Source organism: Homo sapiens, chromosome 11 (assembly GCF_000001405.40).
Source record: "Homo sapiens chromosome 11, GRCh38.p14 Primary Assembly".
Classification (NCBI taxonomy): Eukaryota; Metazoa; Chordata; class Mammalia; order Primates; family Hominidae; genus Homo; species Homo sapiens.
The window spans coordinates 59,636,656-59,655,899 of NC_000011.10; the positions used below are offsets into that span (position 1 = coordinate 59,636,656).

Sequence of the window (19,244 nt, forward strand, 5' to 3'; positions counted from 1 at the left end):
AATATGCTAGAAACATAAAAATCATATTCAGAGGTAACAAAGTAGAAATGCAGGCACTCATTTTTAAGTATACAATTTGTTTTTATTTACAATACCCTATAAAAATGTAAATTTAGAAACTTTTATTTTCATTAATTAGAACCAATCCAAACAAAAAAGATAAAGCACAGTAAGGAAGAGATAATAATCAAGTATTCACTTGATTGGTTGTGAAGGGAAGGTAGGAAAGGCATGTAGTGGAAATGGTCAGTAGACAACGGTAGAGGGAAGCTAGGTAACATCACTGGGGAACAGCTGGTGGAGCCTGGGGTTACAGCATGGGAAGAAATGGAGATGGAGAACAGGACAGCTGGTTTTAACAGAGGATCTTACTGTTGTACAATACATGTATGTGCAAAATGTTTATTCTCTTTAAATACCATAACCTGTCCCTCCCACCCCCCAACTACATTCGAAAAAGTAAGAACAGCAGAAAGATCACGAAGGCCATGTAAAATTAATTCAGATTTAATTTTCTTCAGGGCTGTAATCACTAGGGATCAAAACTCCTTAGTCTGGTTGATTGCTGAATGGGAGAGGAGTAAGTGAGAAAGATCATGGCAGGCTGGCCCTGCAATTATTCAAACCCAGGCCCCTGGCTGCCTGGGAACGGGACTTGGGTGAGATGAAGTAGTAAAGACAGCAGTTCTGCCCATGGTGTGGAGACTAAAAAGCAAAGCAGGCCAAACTTAGCTTCCATGGTTACATTTGGAAGTTTCTATTCATGACACCAAATAAAAGTGGGGAAGAAGGAAGCATGGCTTACTGAAGTAGTCTCAGGAAGACAGGGCAAGTGTGCAAAAAGCCACACTGCCAAAGCAGGCTACTAGTGAGGATCATCCTGGGTGACTTCGAATGCACTTGAGGGGAAAGGCTCAAGTACCCTGTAGTTGTAGCAGGAAAAAGACATAACCATGTGTTGTTTCGATTAAGGTGGACAGAAACTAAGGAAATAAAGGTGGGAAGAAGAAAAAGGACTTCTCAGCCTAGACCTGGGCATAAGCCAATTAAGAGTTCTGATTTTATTAAACGTGCTGCATACTCTTTATTTATGTTAAAACAAGTAGAACCCACCAAATTAATTACAAGATAGAACAGAAACAGATTAAAATACATCAGCTGGTTTGTGTTTAGAAGAGGTAATGAGACAACTAAATATTTTTCAATCTAAAATTCATTCTTTAAGGACCCTCTGAAGACCACATAAATACATGTATGGGGTGTGTGTGTGTGTATCTATGTGTGTGTGTATATCTTGATTTCTACTTAATTGGCTCTTCTATAGTCATATTAATATGGGGCAATGAAAAAACAACTTCAATAGGATGAGGGAAGGAATCCTTTGGCAGGCTACAATCTACTCTGAGGTGGAGTAGTGGAGGGATAAAGGGAGAGATTACACTTGTGTCTCTAGGGCAAAGAAAATGCAAAACAGAACTGAGTAAAAGTAGGACATGCAGAACTGTAACACAGAAGGTAAAGAAACCAGCAGAAGTATCACCCAGCCAAATTTCATAGAGCAGTGGGGAAATATCTGACATTTAGAGAGACAACCCCTGTAAACAGGAATCGATCCCACAAGACTTTGCTTTGGGGAAAAAGCTACCTTCCTTCCCTCATTAAAAACACTCCATTGGTGATGGCAGCAGTGCAGGTGGCAGCCAAAAGGAGGTACAGGACACATTTGGAGATCTTTTATCGTATCCCCTGAACTAGCCTAGGAGTACAAAGGAGAGAAAGGAAAATTGTATAAATGAGTTAAAACAGAAGGCAATCTTTCATATTACAGTTACATCTTTGTAAGACTTCTCATAACAAAATACCCGAGATTATTTCTCTACCCTTAGCATTTGGTCATCTTTTATGAAGGCCCTGTTGTACCCAGTTCAGTGTTTTATATCTAACAGATACACAAATAGTTAATAAAAAGTCAATCTCTTCCACCAAATTCAGTTTTATTCCCCCCTCCACCCCAATCATAACTTCTTTTTATTTATTTTTTTTGAGACAGGGTCTTGCTCTGTCACCCAGGCTGGAGTGCAGTGGCGTGATCTCAGCTCACTGCAATCTCTGTCTCCCGGGTTTAAATGATTTTCATACCTCAGCCTACCGAATAGCTGGGATTACAGGCATGCACCACCGCACTTGGCTAATTTTCGTATTTTTTTAGTAGAGACAGGGTTTCACCATTTTGGTCAGGCTGGTCTGGAACTCCTGGCCTCAAGTGATCCACCCTCCTGGGTGTCCTAAAATGCTGGGATTACAGGTGTGAGCCACCGTACCCAGCCTCCCAACCATAACTTCTAAAGTCCCAACTTTAGTGAGATGTGAAACTCTCCTGTTTCAAACTTACTGCAGTTTTGTCTCCAGCAAGTTCAGTTTCTGCCGGTCAACATAGCGAGAAAAGAGGGACACTAGGTTTGTAGGTATAGAGATTGGCTTGGCCAGGGCTGCTTGGGGAATCCGCAGAAGTTCTCGTGTTGCCATGAACATCACCTCCGTCCTGACAGGGAAGACCCATAATAATATCAGGAGAAAAAAATTTAAAAGATTACCTCAAAGAACTTAAAATAAGAGAAGAAACAGTCCACACTGACCACTGATTATTTTGTGTTGATTCTGTAGCAGGGTCTGAACTCTGTAGGTCTTCACCACGGCTCAGGAGGATGAGGAGCAGTGACAGGCCAAACTACGAGAAAAGACAGAGGGAATCAAACTCAACACTGTGTCTAAACCTCCTCCACCACTGTTGAAGGGATCCTGGCATCAGATGGGGAACAGCTCTAAATCAAAATAACCTCACTACTGTGCTTTTCTGTAAAACCAGGTAAAGATCAGACAAGCATGAGTTGAAAGGCTATGTCTCTCTCCAGGCTTTATTCTGCCATAGCAGTGACCAGGCGCAGCCAACAGAAACGGAAAGTCATGGTGTCCAACACGCCTCTCTGTTCCCCATGCTGAGGTTAAAAGATGGTTTTTCCTTGCCATGGATAATGTAGAATTTGACTTTTCTCCTATTTATGAGAACAGAAATAGGCTAAAAAAGAAAGTAAATGAAGACCAATTTTGGTACAGAAATTAAAAATCAGGAAAAAATAAGAAAAAAGCATTACAGTAAGATATTTTGAATTAAGAAACAAGGTGTAAACTGTAGGAAAATATACAAATAAACACAACTGAAATAAACATGGTATAAAGAGAAACTTTCCATTAAAAAGCACATCTCTATCTGGAAATACAAAGTCTTAGACAGAATGTTAATAAAAATCTAAAAAATAAAAAGAGAGAAAGGGTAAACAGATGTATACACCGTATCTATAATTAAAATTCAGCAACATGCTTTAGAGTATGCAATATATAAAAATGGTCAGGTGTGGTGGCTCATGCCTGTAATCCCAGCACTATGGGAGGCCAAGGTGGGTGGATGACCTGAGGTCAGGAGTTTGAGACCAGCCTGATCAAAATGGTGAAACTCCGTCTCTACTAAAAATAGAAAATTAGCCAGGCACGGTGGCACATGCCTGTAATCCCAGCTACTTGGGAGGCTGAGGCAGGAGAATTGTTGGAACCCGGGAGCTGGAGGTTGCAGTGAGCCAAGATCGCACCATTGCGCTCCAGCCTGGGCAACACGAGTGAAACTCCATCTCCAAAAAAAAAAAAAAAAGTAACATATAAAAATGTGTTTTATTTAGTGGACAGTAAAATCAGGAAATGTAGTCTTTGGGGCATAGGATTAAAATATGGGACGGGCGTGGTGGCTCATGCATGTAATCCCAGCACTTTGGGAGGCCAAGGCGGGTGGATCAAGAGGTCAGGAGATCGAGATCATCCTGGCTAACACGGTGAAACCCTGCCTCTACTAAAAAATACAAAAAATTAGCCAGGCGTGGTGGCGGGTGCCTGTAGTCCCAGCTACTCGGGAGGCTGAGGCAGGAGAATGGCTTGAACCCAGGAGGCGGAGCTTGCAGTGAGCTGCGATCGCGCCACTGCACTCCAGCCTGGGTGACAGAGCAAGACTCTATCTCAAAAGAAAAAAAAAAATGAACAGGGGGCTGGGGATGGGCATGGTGGCTCATGCCTGTAATTCCAGCACTTTGGGAGGTGGAGGCAGTACTGCTTGAGTCCAGGAGTTCGAGACCAGCCAGAGCAACATAGTGAGACCCTGTTTCTGCAAAAAATATAAAAATCAATCGGAGGCTGGGTGTGGTGGCTCACACCTGTAATCCCAGCACTTTGGGAGGCTGAGGCAGGTGGATCACGTGAGGTCAGGAGCCCCGGACCAGCCTGGCCAACATGGCAAAACCCTGTCTCTGCTAAAAACACAAACATTAGCCTGGTATGGTGGCGGGCACCTGTAATCCCAGCTACTTGGGGGCTGACGCAGGAGAACTGCTTGAACCTGGGAGGCAGGGGTTGCAGTGAGACAAGATATCGCCATTGCACTGCAGCATGAGTGACAGAGCAAGGCTCTGTCTCAAAAAAAAAAAAGTCAATCAGGCATGGTGGCACATGCTACTCAAGAGGCTGAGGTGGGAGGATCGCTTTGAGTACAGAAAGTTGAGGCTGCAATGAGCTGTGACTGTGCCACTGCACTGAAGCCTGGGTGACAGAGTGAGATCCTGTCTCAAAAAAGAAAATACAAATAGGGACAAGAAGGTTTAGGTTAAATGTATGACTCATACCTATAAATGGATCATAAAAGGAAGGCTGGCAGTACTTTGGGATTCCATTCCAACTTTCTAGACTCACTCACTTTTCCACAAAATTTCCCTTCATGGCCGGTTGCAGTAGCTCACACCTGTAATCCCAACACTTTGGGAGGTCGAGGCAGGCTGATAGCTTGAGCTCAGGAGTTTGAGACCAGCCTGGACAACATGGCGAAACCCCACCTCTACAAAAAATACACAAATTAGTTGTGCGTGGTGGCATGTGCCTGTAGTCCCATCTACTTGGGAGGCTGAGGTGGGAGGATGGCTTGAGCCCAGGAGGCAGAGGTTGCAGTGAGCCGAGATCTTGCCACTGCACTCTGGCCTGGGTGACAGAGAAGACCCTGATTTAAAAAAAAAAAATCCCTTTTCATGTTATTCTCAGAAAAAAAATACTACTGCCTTTACTAAAATTAAAACTAAGAGACCAAATAACAGAAAGGCACATTCCGGATCACTCCAGAACCCCAGAGGCACTGTCACCTCTTCTTCCTCTGATACACTGACCTTTAGAGTCATGCTTTGGTAGGTTTTCTGGTGCAAAGGAGCAAGAGGCCTTGAGACCACTTTTTCATCTCTACTGTACATAGAATGGCCCTTAATGAGTAACTACTATGTACCAGGCATTATATCGAACCACTTACAACTGTTATCTCATTTAAGTACCAGGACAACTCTATGAAGTCTACATCATCACCTCCATCTTATAGACCAGGAAACTGATTCAGCAATGTGATATCATCTGTCCAAGGTCACAAAGCTAGACAGTAGCAGGGAAGGACTAAAAATTCATATTCTTTATTTCATATTATGTTTCCCCTAGGAATCTCTGAATCTTTAAACTTGATGCAAATAAAATATGAAATGGATGATTCTACTATTCATAGTGTTATGACAGAGACTGCTAATTGCCTAATATGCCTTCCTACCCATTATCAGAACTCTTATGTGTCATGACAATGGCATAAACTAAAAGATATTTTCCAGCCTTCCCTGCACTTAGGTGTGGCCATGTGACAATGTCCTGGCTATTAACAGTAAGTAGAAGTTTCTGGTTAGAACTCCTGGAAAAGGTCTCAATAAGGAAGATGGACAGCTGGTCCACATCTTTTTGCCCTCCACATCCACCTGTCCTTCTTGATGTAAAGCTGAATCATGAATTCCACAGCCATCTTGGACCATGAGGAATAATGAACATGGAAGCCACTGGTAAGAATGGCAGAGGAAAAAAAGTGAAAAAGCCTGGATCCCTGATGACTCTGTCGAGCTACTAAATCAAATTTATTTCACACTAGACACATAAAATCCCATTTTGTTGAAAACACTGTTATTTCTAGCCGGTTACTAGGAGCTTAATGTAACTCTTGACTGAAAGAAGCCTTTTTCCCAAGTTGCTAGAGATACAGCAGCCATTATTTTAATCTATAACGCAAATTAAGACATTTCACAAAGTTCAAGGAGTTAAAAGGGCAAGATCACCTTGTTCTGGAGCACAGCAGTGAGGTGAGGATTGGAGAGTGCTGGTGTAGCTGCACTTTGAGGTAGGTTCATTAGCTGTCGCAAAAGGCTGGTGATACTCACTGATGGAAGATGATAGAGAAGGAGAGAGAAGGGACTCAGTAAGCATGGCAGCACCTACAAAAAACAAATAAAAGCATTATATCCTGGCACGTGTTACTTCAGTTACCCCCCACCAGGGGCATGGATGGAAGGATGTTCATTTGTATATTCAACCACTTAAGGCACAAGTCTGGCAGATATGACTAGAGTCTTAATAATGAATTCTAAGCTATCTACTGAGAACTTTTTCATCTCAATTTGCATTGGAAACACCATGACTTGTGTGAACCAAAGGTGTAAAAAAAAATCACTCCCAAATACATACCAAGAGTTATGCTAAAACATCAATATTTTAACTAATTCCATAAATATTTAAATGCTTACACTACACCATGGGCTAAAAACAAATGGCAAAAGGACACAGAACCTCAGGGATCTAAAGTATAGCGGAGAAGATATGGGTTAATTGGCCATTTCAATATACTGTGAGAAGCACTCCAAGATAGGTTAAAGGCCAAGCAGAAGATCACTTCAGGCCAGGAGTTCAAGACTAGTCTGGACAACGTAGTGAGACCTCATCTCTACAACAAATAAAAAAGTTTCACCTGTAGTCCCCAGCTACTCAATAGGCTGAGGTGGTAGGTTTGCTTGAGTCTAAGAGTTCAAGGTTACATTGAACTATGATTGCACAACCACATTCCGGCTTGGGTGACAGGGTGAGACCCACCCTGTCTCAAAAGAAGTGTTTTCAGATTTAATGTATTTTCTTTTATTTTTATAAAAGCTCAATGAGGAAGAAAAGAAATAATTAGCCAATTTTTATAGATTTTTAGAGAATCTATAAAGTGATCAGAAACTCAGTGTTTGGAGTTACATAGCCACAGCTAGAGCCAGAACCCAAGGCTGTTGAATTCCAGCCTTCTAGTCATTTATTTCTTTTTGTCATGTAGCCAACTGGAAAGTTAAAATAAAGAACTATTAATATAAATAACTAGGTTATAACACAACAAAGGAAATCAAGAGTGCTTCCAGACAATCAATGCACATGGTATAAAGTGATGGCTGGTTTTACTTTAAATGGCAACTGCAAATGGGGAATAAAATATTTTTTGTGGTCTACTATAAATTAAAAAAGCTTTTATTATGGTCATTTTAGAACATACATGAAAATACAAACAACAGCATAATGACATTCATGTACTCACCACCCAATTTCAACATCAACCAAATTATCAACATTTTGCCAATCTTATTAAATCTATGTTCCTTCTGTATCATATCATTTCATCCCAAAATACATCAGTTTGTATTTCTAACAAAATCTCTCACAATATCATACCTAACAAAATAAACAATAATTTTTCTTCATAGACCATTTCTCAGGAAAGAATTTTAAAATATCATCTAGTATCTGTTTCAAATTCAAATTCCCTCAAATGCCTTTAAAAATATCTTTTAGCAGCTGAACTTTGTATTAGAACCATTATTGTGCTAATTATGGTTCAAACAAGATCCACACATTGCATTTGCCTGGTAAGGTTTTTAAAATCTCTCTAACAGGTCTTCTGCCACTGGCCCTTTTCTCTTGTTATTTATCTGTTAAAGAAACTGGGTCATTTGTTCTATAGTTTGAATTTGGCAAACTGCATGTTGGCAGTGTCACTTAGCAGGTTCTGCTATCCTCTGTTTCCCTCCTAAACAGATAGTTAGAATAACAGGTTTATTTGATTCAGGTTCAGTAGGATGTGGGAGGGACATGTGAGAAAACGTCATGGATAGAACTGTGTATTTTCCATTGCATTATGCCAAGAAGAGCTAGGTATGGTGGCTCATGCCTGTAATCCCTGCATTTTAGGAAGCAGAGATGGGAAAACTGCTTGAGCCCAGGAGCTCGAGACAAGCCTGGACAACATAGGGAGACTTCGTTTCCTTTTTTTTTTTTTTTTTTTAAAAAAAAAAAAAAAGCACAGTGCTTGGTTGTCCCACTCTTAGAGGTGTTAAGAGTTCATTAATGGGTTCAGGTGTTGCCAGGCTGCTCCAACCACTGTAAAGTTCCCCATCCACTTTTTTTTTTTTTTTTAATCCATTCAACCCTGAGTGGATACAGCACATGTTTCAGAGAGCACAGGGTTGGGGGTAAGGTCACAGATCAACAGGATCCCAAGGCAGAAGAATTTTTCTTAGTACAGAACAAAATGAAAAGTCTCCCATGTCTACCTCTTTCTACACAGACACGGCAACCATCCGATTTCTCAATCTTTTCCCCACCTTTCCCCCCTTTCTATTCCACAAAACCGCCATTGTCATCATGGCCCGTTCTCAATGAGCTGTTGGGTACACCTCCCAGACGGGGTGGTGGCAGGGCAGAGGGGCTCCTCACTTCCCAGTAGGGGCGGCCAGGCAGAGGTGCCCCTCACTTCCCCCCCCATCCACTTTTTACCTACTGCTTTTAGCAGCCAGTAATGAGTGCTGTCTAGATTGACTGCTTCTCTGTTGAGGCTTGCAAAAACAGTTATTTTCTAATTTTATCATTTCTTTTGTATTTATTAGCTAAAATTCTTCTACAAAGAACTTTGTATTATCAACTCTCTGATTACCATGACATTTGGTTGTAATGGAAAGGTAGGATAAATGCTTTTCCTTTATTTACCAATTTTCTGAATAGTGGGTTGATGGCCTAGTAGTCTCCAAAGGTGATCAATATATGTTTAACACTATTACCTCATTAAATATATTTGATATATTTCAATCTACTGCTGTAACTGTTCTTTCTGATGAAAATTATTCCACTTTTGGCCAGTATGAGTCTCTTGAAGTTGGTTTGTGTATCCTTTAGACAGGACTCTAGTAATCTATTAACTTCCTTGCTTTCTGGCACTAGATATTCCAGGATATCTTGTACATTTCATGATTCAGACCTAGAACCAGCTATTACTTCAAGAAAATGGTATTTAGAGATGTGGTTTATTACTCCTTAAAACATACAGGTAAAAATCAGCCTAGGTATTTAGCCAAGCTTTCCTCCTAGCAGGTAAGCTCCATGAAAGCAGGCATTTTTGCATTCTTATCTTTTAGCACCTAGAACTAGGTGTTGTATTTCTAGGAGGTAAAATAATGCCTGGCACATAGAAGTATTCAGCAAATTATCTCCCAAACTTGTTTCCACACAAGAGCTCTGGTGGGATTATGAGTGCCCATTACACTGCTTACAAATTATATGCTCTAAGGTAGCTGTTACTTTTTTAGTCTGGTCTTCTATTTTCTAGGATAAACCTCAAATACTGGAACTTTTCCCTAACTCATTTTTCATTTGTGGAATTTTTTTTTTTTTTTTTTTGAGTAGCTGGGACCACAGGCATATACTACTGTGTCCAGCTCATTTTTTTCTTTTTTTTCTCTATTTTTAGTAGGGACAGTTTTTCACCATGTTGCCCAGGATGGTCTTGAACTCTTGGCCTCAAGCGATCCACTTGCCTCAGCCTCCCAAAGTGTTGGGATTATAGGCGTAAGCCACTGTGCCCAGCCAAATCTTTTAAATATATACTTGTCCCAACCCACTTCACTTTTTTCAATGAGACCTAAACTTCTCATTCATTTCTTCTGCAGATGCTAACATTTCAAGGATCTATGAAAGAATAATTTCCCTTTCATAGCATACCATTTATAAGGTATTCTGTGTTTTCTGGGGACTCATTACTTAGATCGTTATTACTCAACTTGTAGTCTATAACAGGTTCACTCCCATATATTCTACTATTCTGAATCTTGTACTAATATTCATCCTTTGTCCCACTTTTATCAGTTTCTTATTTTGAACTTCTTAAGACTATTCTAAATTTTGCTCATCTTTCAGGTGTGCTATGACAAGGATAAGGAGAGAAAAACTCTAACCAAGAATTAACTTGTACATGTGATAACCATGTTAAAATTCCAGCCTAGTCTAGATCATGATAAAAATTATTTAAAGGGCTGGCTCGGGCTGGACACAGTAGCTCAAGCCTGTAATCCCAGCACTTTGGGAGGCCAAGGCAAGAGGACTGCACGAGTCTAGGAGTTTGAGACCAGCCTGGGCAATGTGGCAAAACCCTGTCTCTACAAAAGGTAAAAAAAAAATTAGCCGAGCATGGTGTCGCATGCCTGTAGTCCCAGCTACTCAGGAGGCTGAGGTGGCAGAATCACCTGAGCCTGGGATGTGGAGGCTGCAGTGAGCCGAGATCACACCATTGCCCTACTGCCTGTGTGACAGAGCAAAACTCTGTCTCAAAAAAAAAAAAAAAAAAAAAACCAAAAGGGGACTAGCTCAGTTGCTGTGGGATACCATTTAACTAAGTCTACAGGCTAATGTTAAGCTACTGATAACAGAACAATGAATGATACTTCATATCTAGCAAAATAACCAAGACTATAAGTTTTCAAACTTCAGTGAACATCAGATTCAGCTGGAGACTAAGATACAAAAACCCTAATCCTTCTGTAAATTCTGATTCAGCAGTTTGGGGTGGAGTTGAATTATCTACGCAAGTAATTCTGATACAGACCACATCTTTACAACTATGTCAAGTAAGAGGGAATTGTTGTTTTTCTCATGTTTAGAAACATAGTCTGTTCCATCAAATATGGGATTAAAAATATAGGCCTGAAATACTAAAGGTTTTGTTTTAAATAATCAAATCACACAGCCAAAGATTAGACAAAAATACAAAAGGGAAGAGGAGAGGAAAATAAGTTTGCATTCTAGAAATCTTATCACTTATAAAGACTCAAAAGAAAGATGTCCCATCTTGCATAGTCACCTCATCTTGTGCATCCTTCTTGATAAGGAAAGGGAGGTTCCTGGCTGTTGTCATGAGAATGTCAGCTGCTTGCTCTGTGGAGAGGAAAGGAAGAATACGGGCAACCATTCTCTTCCCTTTTCGGATACACATGATCTGTACAAAGTGGTCATCACTAGGCCTGCAAGGAAGAAAAATGCCAGCTTAGGTCAGCAAGAACAATTAAGAAACCCTCATTTTTTTCCTCTTAGATGTTACTGAATGAATATACTGCATTCATTTTCATTCTCTAATAACCTGTACTATAAAACAGTAGGAATCACTTCTCCAAATCTCAACCAAATAAAAAGTAAATTTTCAGGTCTTACAAATGTAGAAAATAATCATTTCACAAATTATATGGTTAAAAAAAACTTGGCCAACTGTATGCACTAATTTCCTTAACTTTTTTTCTTTTTTTTTTTTTTTTTTGAGACGAAGTCCCGCTTTGTTACCCAGGCTGGAGTGCAGTGGCGCTATCTTGGTTCATTGCAGCCTCCACCTCCTGGGTTCAAGTGATTCTCCTGCCTCAGTCTCCTGAGCAGCCGGGATTATAGATGCCCGCCACCATGACCAGCTGATTTTTATATTTTTCTAGAGACAGGGTTTCACCATGTTGGCCAGGTTGGTCTCTGAACTCTTGACCTCAAGTGATCTGCCCACCTCAGCCTCCCAAAGTGCTTGGCCTCCTCTCTTAACTTTTAAGTAACCACACAAATACCATATGGTTAACAGCAACAGCTTAAAAAAAAAAAAAAGAAAAAAGAAAATAAAAACATTCGTCAACTCAGAGTTAATTAGTGTTACCATTTTAAACAACATTTTGCTTTGTATTATATATTTTTTCTTTCATAAAAAAATGGGCCCATATAATTCATATGGTTTTGTACCTTGACTTTTTTCACTCAACAACTTATTTCCATGTCAATAAATATATTTCAACTACATACATTTTAATGGCTGCATAACATCCAATCTATGGATAAACCATTTATTTAACCAGTTCCCTGTCAGCCTAACTCCAGACACGGTGTGTTGAAAACAAAGTGCTTATTCTTATGTTTGGTTTTGTGTATGTCCTGGCTTAGAAGGATAAGTAATTCTCTTGAACGGGTAAAAAGAAAGGGAGTTGTTAGAAGTTGTAGTTCTCTTGAATACATCGAATAAGTATTCAGGATTTACAGAACATTTAACATCAGCAAGATTCTTTTGCAGATAATGGGGTAGGTGAGGGATTCCCCATTGGAAGACTGAAGGGTTTCGATAGGATATAAATATTTTGTGGAAATCCCAGGAAGTATAAATGTTTGTACATCTGATCTTAGTAATAAAGGAAATATATAAAGATTACAAGGTTAAACATGCTAGTAATCATAAATCAGGTGCAATCTGTAAGCACAAAAACCCAATAACGTTACCCACTATATCTCTAGTGCCTAGCACTGTCCCCAGCAGATACTATGTATTTGTTGAATGAATAAATTCAGGATAAAGACTTTTTTTTTCTTTCCTCACTGGAAAAGATAATTCGTATTTTAAATGAAGTGGCATTTGAGTTAGGCTAAAAGGATAGATTCTGAGCTTACAGAGATGGTAGGGAAGTGTACCTAAAAGGCAAAAATGTATGAAATCCAGTTATGACAGAGGAAGGAGTCCAGTTAATGTTTTCCTCAAACTGCACGATGCTTACCTCTCTTGTCCAGGCAATTTCCCCCTTAAGTTGTCATACATGCTACAAATTTTGTGCTTTCTGTCATCCATTAGGGCAGGTCGCTCTTCTTCCAGACTTAGGAGATAACGTCTTTCATAGTCCTCCACATCAAGGAGTAAGCTGTAGGTCTAAGAAGGGAGACAAAAGCAGGCCACAGCATGCTAGGTCAGAACCACAGTATTAGTTAAACAATTTCACAGTTTAGGACTACTAGCTAAAGACAAACTCATTATAGAAAGACTGAGATTTTTTTTTTTTTAATGTAGAAAACCATATGAAATAACTTAAAAAATTCCTCAAACCACCATTCTTTGTCTCTCTCTGACTTCTATTCTAGCAGGCAAAGACAGTAAAATAGTCTAGACGCGGTGGCTCACGCCTGTAATCCCAGCACTTTGGGAGGCTGAGATGGGCGGATCACGTGAGGTTGGGAGTCCAAGACCAGCCTGAACAACATGGAGAAATCCCATCTCTACTAAAAATACAAAATTAGCCAGGCATAGTGGCACATGCCTATAATCCCAGCTACGCAGGTGGCTGAGGCAGGAGAATTACTTGAACCCGGTAGGCGGAGGTTGCAGTGAGCCAAGATCTCGCCATTGCACTCCAGCCTGGGGAACAAGAGTGAAACTCCATCTCAAAAGGAAAAAAAAAAAAAAAAAAAAGCAATCCAAAGAGAAAACTACTACTATCATCTCCATTTTTACAGATAAAGAAACTGAGGACAGCATAGAAAGGTTAAATAACTTGCCTTAAGTTACAGACTCAGAAATGGAAAAAGACATGATTTGCAGCTTGGTTCTAGAGTCCATACTTTCAACCACTATGGTGTATGGCCTTACAATGTGGTATTTACATTTTACAAATCAACTATTAATATCCATTATTTTCCTCAGCACCCAGAATAGTGCCCAGTAAATATCTGTGAACTAAATTAATCCACAGGTAGGACAATGTAATTTTCATTCCCATTTTATCAGGCTTAGAAAGGTGACTTGCCCAGACACTCAGCTGTTAACTGAATAAGCTTGGACAAAAACCCAATACACTTCCAACTTTAACTGCAGTGTTCTTTCCATGATGCCAATAGGTGAAACATACCATAATCCTTTCCAAAGTTATGTGGTACACAATAGTCACTTACCAGCAATATATTCATGAATTAAAACCAAAGAACATTGACTGATTGCTCACTGTTTCAGTTCTAGTATATACATACATTTGACAGTTCCGTATTTGAAACTAACTACAGCAACAAATTCTAAACTTACTTTCTCAATTATAACAAGGGTTTTTCTCCTCTTGTCTCGAACTTGTTTTTCTTTTGTCTCCTAAAAAAGAGAAGACTATTCAATGCAAATTCTTTATCTCTGTTAAAATAATTTACCAAGTGCGCATTTGTAGGTTCATTTGTGACAATACTTTGAGAAGATAATTGATTCTCTGAAAGTTAATAATCTAAAACAACCCTAGTATGAACAAAGGTCAAAGTTGACTGAATCAATCCACAAACTATTAAATTCCATTCACAGATAGGCAAAGGGCAACCTTAGTAGAGGATAAGGAAATCATATGAAATATGAAAATCTTTTTTTTTTCTTAAACGTTAATTTTAGGTTCAATGGTACACGTGCAGGTTATAGGGTACATGTGTTTGTTACATAGGTAAACTTATGTCATGGGGGTTGTACAAATTCTTTCATCACCCAGGTACTAAGCCTAGTGCCCCATAATTATTCTTTCTGATCCTCTTCCTGAAAATCTTAAAACACATAGAAAATGATAATTTTTTTAACATCAAACTGGAGTAAATACATGCTGTTTGCAGCCAGAGCTACCCAATCCAAAGACTCCTGCCACCCTAGTCCCTGCCTGGCTGCCTTAGAAATGAAGGTGTTAATACTGCAGCACATCTGTGGAAAACTAGAATGCATGACGAGGTGGGAGGCCCCGGGTTAGACTACAAACAACTCTACCATGCCTGATCTCATTCCATGGTGACCCCAAAAGAAGTGGTCACAAATCAGACGTTCTTAAACAGACAATTGTGTTGACACTTACATCATCCTCACTCCGAGATGTCACAACAGCATCAATCATTTTTCGGGGATTATTCACACTAGAAACGGTAAGCTTTCCCAAAGAGCCCTCAAATTGCACTGCAAAGACAAAAAAAAAAAAAATTCCAACAAAATAAAAAGTCAGCAATGCAGGCAGGCAGTGTTCAAAGAAGATTTTTACTTTCCTCTGTCCCTTACTCATAGTCTAATAACTTACTGCAAAACTCAATGTATCATTTAGGCCGGGTGTGGTAACTCACACCTGTTATCTCAGCACTTTGGGAGGCCGAGGGGGGTAGATCACTTGAGGCCAGGAGTCCGAGACCAGCCTGGCCAACATAGCGAAACCCCGTCTCTACTAAAAATACAAAAATTAGCTGGATGTGGTGGCACACGCCTGTAATCCCAGCTACTCAGGAGGGTGAGACATGAGAATCGCTTGAGCCCAGGAGGTGGAGGTTGCAGCGAGCTGAGATGGCACCAATGCACTCCAGCCTGGACAACAGAGTAAGGCTCTTTCTCAAAAAAAAAAAAAAAAAAAAAAAAAAAAGACAAAAAATCAATGTATTATTTAAAGCAACCCCTTATCAAAATCTATCCTTTCTCTCTGTTACAATAATTATCACAATAAAAATCTGAAGTATTTCCCCCTTATTTATTTTAGGGGTACTGAAAATTATAACACATTTAAAAAATCATGAAATCTCAAGTAGAAAAGGACCTAAAAAGGCACATGTCAAAGCGTTCAGTCCAGACGTGAATAAAGGCTGATTTTTGCATTTATTAAGAACAATGGTACTTTTAAAATCACTTTGAAACATCTTTGCATATCCTTCCACATATACACTTGTCTATATTTAATCACATCAGCAGCTTCTCAAATTTCTTTTATTATGGGCATTTTTCTTATGAGGACCTTACCTGGCTTATAGGCGTGCTCCAGTTTGGCCACCTGAGGGGTGATAAGCTTGGTGCGCTCCTTCTTAGGGCCATCACCTTGTATTTCTTCAGCAGCTGACAGTTTCTCCAGTTTTTCAAAGTAATTCTACCACGAGAAGATGATTTCAGTTGTAACACAAGCACAGAACACGACTGTTGTTTACCATCAAATAATTTATGCCAGTGACAGTAACACAAGTTCAGCTCTAGAAATATACTGATAGTGAATAGTGCAAGATGCTAAGTACCTCAAAAGAAAATTTTACAAATATTTAATTGTACCAATATTTAAATGAATACCCTCACCAGTGTAGGGGACCAAACTATTATCCTCAAAACTAGCACAGAGTATTTACCTGGTAATAAAAATCATCCAGGTAGGGATCAGTGCTTTGCAGTTGCATCATCTGGATTTTAGAGACCCAATCCTTTTCCCGCTGCAACATGAGATTGGCATATGGATCCTTTCGGAGATGATCTTGATGACTGCTCCGGTGACTTCCTCTATCTCCCGCACCATTGAGATTCCGATGCTGACTGAAAAACATACACCACATTCATTCCATGTGGGCAAATTAATTACGCTTTTTAACAACAGAGGAATAAACCAGGCCAGTTTTTTTTTTTTTTTTTAAAGATTCCCGTTTGCTTTTCTTAAAAGGGGAGTGAAAAAGAACTAAGTCTTAATAGAATTTAAGAGGAAAGAGCTATGTAATAAATAATGAAGAAATAAAACTAAGACCTGAGTACCTTACCATATGCTAAGCATATTCACCTATGGACTTTTGTATAAGCTCTAGAATAACTCTGTGAGGTAGGTAGTTTTCTCTTCCCCACTTAAGACAACAAATCGATGCCAAGAGAGATCAAGTAATTTGTCCAAAGCCATACATCTAGTGGTGGACTAAGGGATTTTAACACAGGCGATTTAGCTCTGAAGTCTACATAAATTGTTTTAACTCATTAAAAATCACGAAATATTTCAAATGCAGAGAAAAAGCCCAGCAAATACTATCATAAATATCCATTTACCCATCACCAAGACCCAATAGAAAAAAATGTATTTGGTTGAATTTGCTTCAAATATTTTAAAGTAATATTAAAATAACACAGTGCTACACTGACAGAGGCCCTGTTGTACCCCTCTAGACCCAGTTTCCAGCTTCTCTTCCTTCATAGAGGAACCACTATTATGCCCTTGGTATGGATGTATCCTCCCTGAAATGTTTTTCTACGTTTATTACTTGTGTGTCTGTCTTTAAATATTACACAGTATTATTCCGTGTGCCTTTTAGTTTTACATAAATGGTACATATAATTCTGTTCCTTGCTTCTTTACTCAATATTATGCTTTTCATATTTACATGTTGATAATACATCCAGGTTTATGGATATGAAGTAAACTTACTAAAAAAAACAAAACAACTAAATAGCATGTTGTTACACTGTTAAAATTAAAAGCTGAATTAAGAAGCCATAAAGGAATCGGATGAGTACTTACCTTCTATTCTGTTGCTGTCTCTGATGCAAGAGTCGACGGTGCTGTGGATGGAGGTGAGTTGTGTCCGGTCTAAACATTGGGGCCTGAGATCTAAGAAAAACGGAAAAGAGGTTCTCAGTTTGGTCATCCTGATGACTTGAAATTTTAAAGAATGTTGTCAGTAGAGGATAACTTCATACAGGTTAACTTAAGGGACTACAAAAGTCTATTCGGGATGGGTGCGGTGACTCACGCCTGTAATCCTAGCACTTTGGGAGGCCAAGGCAGGTGGAACACTTGAGGTCAGGAGTTCGAGACCAGCCTGGCCAACATGGTGAAACCCTGTCTCTCCTAAAAATACAAAAATTAGCTGGGCATGGTAGCAGGCGCCTGTAGTCCCAGCTACTTGGGAGGCTGAGGCAGTGGAATCGCTTGAGCCTGGGAGGCAGAGGTTGCAGTGAGCCGAGATCGTGTGGGTCACTGCACTCCAGCCTGCGAGACAGAGTGAGACTCTGTCTCAAAAACATTAAAAAAAAAAAAAAAAAAAGAGTCTATTCTAAGGAGACCTTTTAGAAGCAAAAGATAGTCATATTTTTACATATCTTCTACAAAGACCAAGTTCTAAAAGGGTGATCATGAAATCTGAGTGAATTAGGAGTAAAGCAGTATAATTCTTTTTCTTTTTGCTTCTGTTTAACAGAAGTCTCTAAGTAGGTTTAACGTACTCAGCTTCAACTATGTGGGAATGTCATTAAAGATATATGTGTGACAGTTAATATGGCTAGGCCTTAGTACCCAGTTATTTGGTCAAACACTGTTTAGATGTTGCTGTGAGGGTATTTTGTAAAGATGTGATTAACATTTATAATCAGTTGACCTTACAAAAGAGATTACCCTCAATAATGTGGGTGGAGCTCATCCAGCCAGTTGAAGGCCTTAAGAACAAAACTAAAGTTTCCCAGAAGAAGGAATTCTGCCTCAAAACTGGAACACAGAAATCCTGCTTGAGTGTCTTGACTGCTGACCTGCTATACTTATTTCAAACTCAAGACTGCAACTTGAGCTTTTACCTGTTTCTTGCCTGCTGGTCTGTCTTACAGATTTCGAACTTGTCAGCCTCTATAATCACGAGCCAATTTCTTAAAATAAAACCTGCTCACATGAACATTCTTGCTCTCTTTCCTCTACTGGTTCTCGTGTGTCTCTTGAAAATCCTGACTGCCACAATATGATATGTAATAAAACACAACTTCACTGAAACAGGAACTTGAACCCCTTTTGTCATAAAACCAGAGGATAAAAGCAAACAGCTTAGCTAGTGTGACGATTAGCTGACTTTTCGGCATCTGTCACTGTATTCCATACCCTCTGGTAATGTGAGAAAAATGTGATTCACAAGAAAGCCTGGAGATTGTCAAACATTTCCATGTTTGCCAACTTGAGGATCCAATAACATCTTAAAATTTATAGTTAGCAAATATCAAGAGACTTATAAAACTACACATCCACAATCAAGAGACTTGGCTGATAACTGATAAACAGTGGCGTTGATTTTGTATACCTTAGGTTTTGCAGGTGGGGTCCTGGGCCAGGAGGGTGCTGCTGTGGAGGTGGTGTAGCGGAGGGTGGAGCACTAAAGAAGGCACGGAAGCCTGGTGCTGGGGGAAGCATCTGCCCAACTCGCCCTTGTAGCAACTTGGGATTCATGGCAGCAAGTGGACTACCAACAAATCCAGGGACCCGTGCAAACTGGCTGGGAGACATCCGTCCAGGCTGTAGCTACAAAGAGGAAGAAGATCTTAGATTTAGACAATCAGCAAGTCCCCTTGCTTTTGTCTACAGAAAAGTGAATACGGTTTTCCATCAATAACTTTGTTTGAAAAAGTAAAGGCAAAAATAAAAGTAGTGATTAACAGCAAAAAAAGGGGCTATTATCTA

At 39.7% G+C, this 19,244-nt stretch overlaps 1 protein-coding gene across 1 annotated transcript in view; it reads right to left on the bottom strand.

Annotated features, from left to right (window-relative positions):
* Positions 1-60: 60 nt before the first annotated feature.
* PATL1 (PAT1 homolog 1, processing body mRNA decay factor) overlaps positions 61-19,244 on the bottom strand; it is a 32,322-nt gene continuing 13,138 nt past the window's right edge. The window contains exons 8-19 of the mRNA NM_152716.3: positions 18,868-19,085; positions 17,328-17,417; positions 16,183-16,363; positions 15,809-15,932; positions 14,889-14,986; positions 14,099-14,158; positions 12,807-12,955; positions 11,099-11,258; positions 6,225-6,380; positions 2,637-2,728; positions 2,393-2,542; positions 61-1,756 (exon numbers count right to left, since the gene is read on the bottom strand). Of these exons, the coding sequence (NP_689929.2) occupies positions 1,735-1,756; positions 2,393-2,542; positions 2,637-2,728; positions 6,225-6,380; positions 11,099-11,258; positions 12,807-12,955; positions 14,099-14,158; positions 14,889-14,986; positions 15,809-15,932; positions 16,183-16,363; positions 17,328-17,417; positions 18,868-19,085 (1,500 nt within the window). The 3' untranslated portion in view covers positions 61-1,734. The remainder of the gene's footprint in view (positions 1,757-2,392; positions 2,543-2,636; positions 2,729-6,224; positions 6,381-11,098; positions 11,259-12,806; positions 12,956-14,098; positions 14,159-14,888; positions 14,987-15,808; positions 15,933-16,182; positions 16,364-17,327; positions 17,418-18,867; positions 19,086-19,244) is intronic.